The following is a 3,678-nucleotide window of genomic DNA, read 5'->3' as shown; positions in this document are numbered from 1 at the left end:
TGTAGTATTCATTATTTTAATTTAAAATTAATGATGATTTTAGTTAATGAATAATGATATTGAGAAATTTTTATGTATTTATTTGTTATCCATATATATTCTTTGGTAAAGTGTCTGTTAAAATATTTTGCCATTTAAGAAATTGGATTGGGGGCTTCAAGATGGCTGACTAGAGGCACCTGGTAATCGCCTCCTCCACAAAGAAAAACCAAAACAGGAGTAGATAACCACGTGTTAAATAGAGCTTCTAAGAGAGAACACTGGAATTCCGCAGGGAAGGGACAGGGACCCTCTGAGAAAGAGAGGGAGGCAAAGCAGCTGGCTCAACCAAAATAGGCTCAGAACCAGGAGAAATTCCCTATCATGGGAAAAAGGTAAGCAAGATATCCTCAGGGGTACACATTACCACCATAAATTCCTGCAATCCTAGCCATGGGAGAGCCCCTTGGCATTCATGGGCCTTGAGCCTAGTATAGGGAACTGCATAGAGTGGCAGGTGGTGCAGGTCTGCCCACAGGAATCTCAATCGTGTATGCAAGTGCCAGCTGTGGTGAATGGGGCCAGGTGATCCCCAGGCCCCCAGATGACATGCAAAAGCACTGGTGGTGGCAGAGGTGGGGCATGCCTGTCCTCAGGCTCCAGGATGATGTAGGGGCAGGCCGGTCTGTAGTGTAAGTCTTCCAGCTTTGTTTTTCTTTTCAAAATTGTTTTGGTTACTTTGAGTCCTTTGCATTTCCATATAAATTTTAGAACAAGCTTGTTAATTTCTATAAAAATGCATGTTAAGATTTTGTCTAGAGTTGCCCTGAATATGCAGATCAATTTGGGGAAGATTGACATCTTAACAGTATTTATTCTTCCAAGTGATAAACACTCTTCCCCTCTTTAATTAAGTCTTTTAAAATTTATCTCAGCAATGTTTTGTAGTTTTTGGTGTACAGCTCTTGCGTTTTTTTGTCAAATTTATCCCTAAGTGTTTCATACTTTTGATGCTACTATAAATAATATTTTAAATTTTAATTCCTGATTGTTCATTCCTAGTATAGAAAAACATTGTATAATGATCTTATATCCTGCAACTAAGCTAAACTCACTTCTTAGTTTTAGTAACTTCTTTGTAGATTACACTGGATTTTCTCCATCATTTCTTCTGAAAATAAAGATAGTTTAATTTCTTCCTTTCTGATCTGGATGCTTTTTCTTTTCCTGCCTTAGTGCACTGGTTTGAATGTCCAGTACATTGTTGGATAGAAGTGGTGAGAGCACACGTCCTTGCTTTGTTCTTGATCTTAAGAGGAAAAACTCTAATTTTTCCTAATTAAATATGATGGTATATGTAGGTTTTTTTGTAAGTGCCCTTTATGTCCGGAAAGTTCCTTTTTATTCCTAGTTTGCTGAGAGGTTTGTTTTTAATTGGGAATAGATGTAGTATTTCCTTAAGTCTATTGAGAAAATGATATGTTTTTAGTTTTTTAATCCATTAATATGGTGAACTGAATTAATTTCCGAATGTTAAACCAACTTTGCCTCCCTGGCATAAATGACACTTGATATCAATGTATTCACTTTTTAAATATATCTTGTTGGATTTGATTTTCTGAGATTTTGTTAAGAATTTTTGCATCGAAGTTTATAAGGGATATTAGTTTGTAACCACAGACCTTTTCTTTTCTTGTAATTTCTTTTCATAGTTTTGGTGTCAGATAAATGTAGGCCTCAAAGAATGAGTTGAGAGGTATTCTATTGTCTCCAACTTTTTGGAAGAGTTTATATAGTTTTACTATTATTTACATTTAAGTGAGTAGTAGAATTCACCAGTGAAGTCATTTGGCTTGGTAGTTCTTAAAGTTTAGTTGCAATGTGGAATGTGAAGTCATATCAATGAATGTTTTACGTTTATCTTTCAACTCAAACAACTAGACAAGTGCTTTCCACTGAAACAACCACTATACTTTATTGCAAAGTGGAACTACGTTATGCATACTTCTCATTTCGTTACTATGCAATATAAAAGGATTTAATAAAAATAATAATTTTTGCTCTTTCTCCAAAGGCATTCTTAAATGAAACTGCTTTTTTTCCCTCTGAGTATGTGGTATCGAAGACTACAATAAAATGTGTTATTGAAGACTACAAAAACCACTACAAGTTAGTGGTTTAGTTCCACTGCCTTGATTCATTCTAAGGGGCTGGCAGTTTTACTCACCATTGCTTTTGCACTATCTGTGCAAACTTCAACATAGTGAAAAAAGTGAATAATATTTTGATATTATATTAGTTTTGACTTTGTGGACCCCCTGAGACTGTCTCAAGGGATTGTATGGGTCCATAGACCACACTTTGAGAAGCACTGCATTATAATTTGAGGATAAGTATTCAAATGTTTAGCTTGGATTTAATATCTCAATTACATTCCATGGTGCCTGCACTGATGGTTCCCCAGTGAATATATAAAAAATCAAAATAATGAGAAATTCAATAAGAAGAGTTTCTGTCTATTCAAAATAAGATCTTAAAGCAAGTAAATCACAAGTGAAGAAATATAGGCCTTTAAAATTATATTAAGCCAGTTGAATCTGTTTCTCCCAATTGACTTACACCATACTGCAATTATTTATCTTTGGTTAACAAAAATAAACTCTCAAGTTTCAAGAAACTAACCTCAATTACTTGTCACCTTACCTCTTCCACCTCCAGTTTCCTTATCTGTAAAACTGTGTGGGAGGTGGTGGTGATCATAATAGAATCTACCTCATAATGCCATAGGAACCAAATGAGATCCTGAATGTAAAGCACGTGAATGCTGAATTAATATTAGCTATTATGCTAACGTTCTCATTCCTTTTATGATTGCATCATATTCTGTAGTATGAATGGATCAAAATTTTCCCTGGTCGTTCCATATAGTGTGATAGCTCTGGGAACTTTGAAAGATAGGAGTCACGGGGTTGGAGTAATATAATTTTGGAGGTGTTGAATTTTGCACCAGTTTCATTTCATGTAATCACTCAGTAATTTAAAGTAGGTTAAAAGGTAGATTAATAGAGATTCCTATAGGATTTCCATTGTACGGGTGGACAAAATTCATTTGTAATTTATTCCTGGAGTACTTAAAATTGCTTAATTCTTTCAAGGAAGTACTTCTCACCATCACCCCTCACCACTATACTAATATACACACATAGACACAGATACACACACACATATATCTTGTTTATTAATTATTTGCCTAGAAATTTCATGATGACAAATTTAGGCCAGGTCTGACTAAATTATCACAAAATCTAAAATTTAATTGTTCAAAATCAGAAAAAAACAATTTTGGAGGTGTTGAAGGAGCTATGCACTTTCTAATAGATGCTGGTCCAGGCTTCAACCAAGGCAGGGTTTCTCAACCTTGGCTCTTTTGACATTTTGGACTGTATAATTCTTTGTTGTGTGTGTATCTGGGGTAAGGGGTGCTGTGCACTGTAGGATGTTTAATGGCATCCCTGGCCTCTATCCACTTGATGCTAGTGGCACCCTTCACCCCGTGTCATGACAACCAAAACATCTTTAGACATTGTCAAATATCACCCAGTGTGCAAAGTGCCTCCAGTTGAGAATCACTGAACCAGGTACTGAAGGAAGACCCTTCTGGCTGGACAGAACAGTACAGAAACAGAATCGTATAAGGAA

This window comes from Homo sapiens, chromosome X (genome assembly GCF_000001405.40).
Source record: "Homo sapiens chromosome X, GRCh38.p14 Primary Assembly".
Taxonomy (NCBI): domain Eukaryota; kingdom Metazoa; phylum Chordata; class Mammalia; order Primates; family Hominidae; genus Homo; species Homo sapiens.
This window is presented reverse-complemented; position numbering follows the sequence as displayed.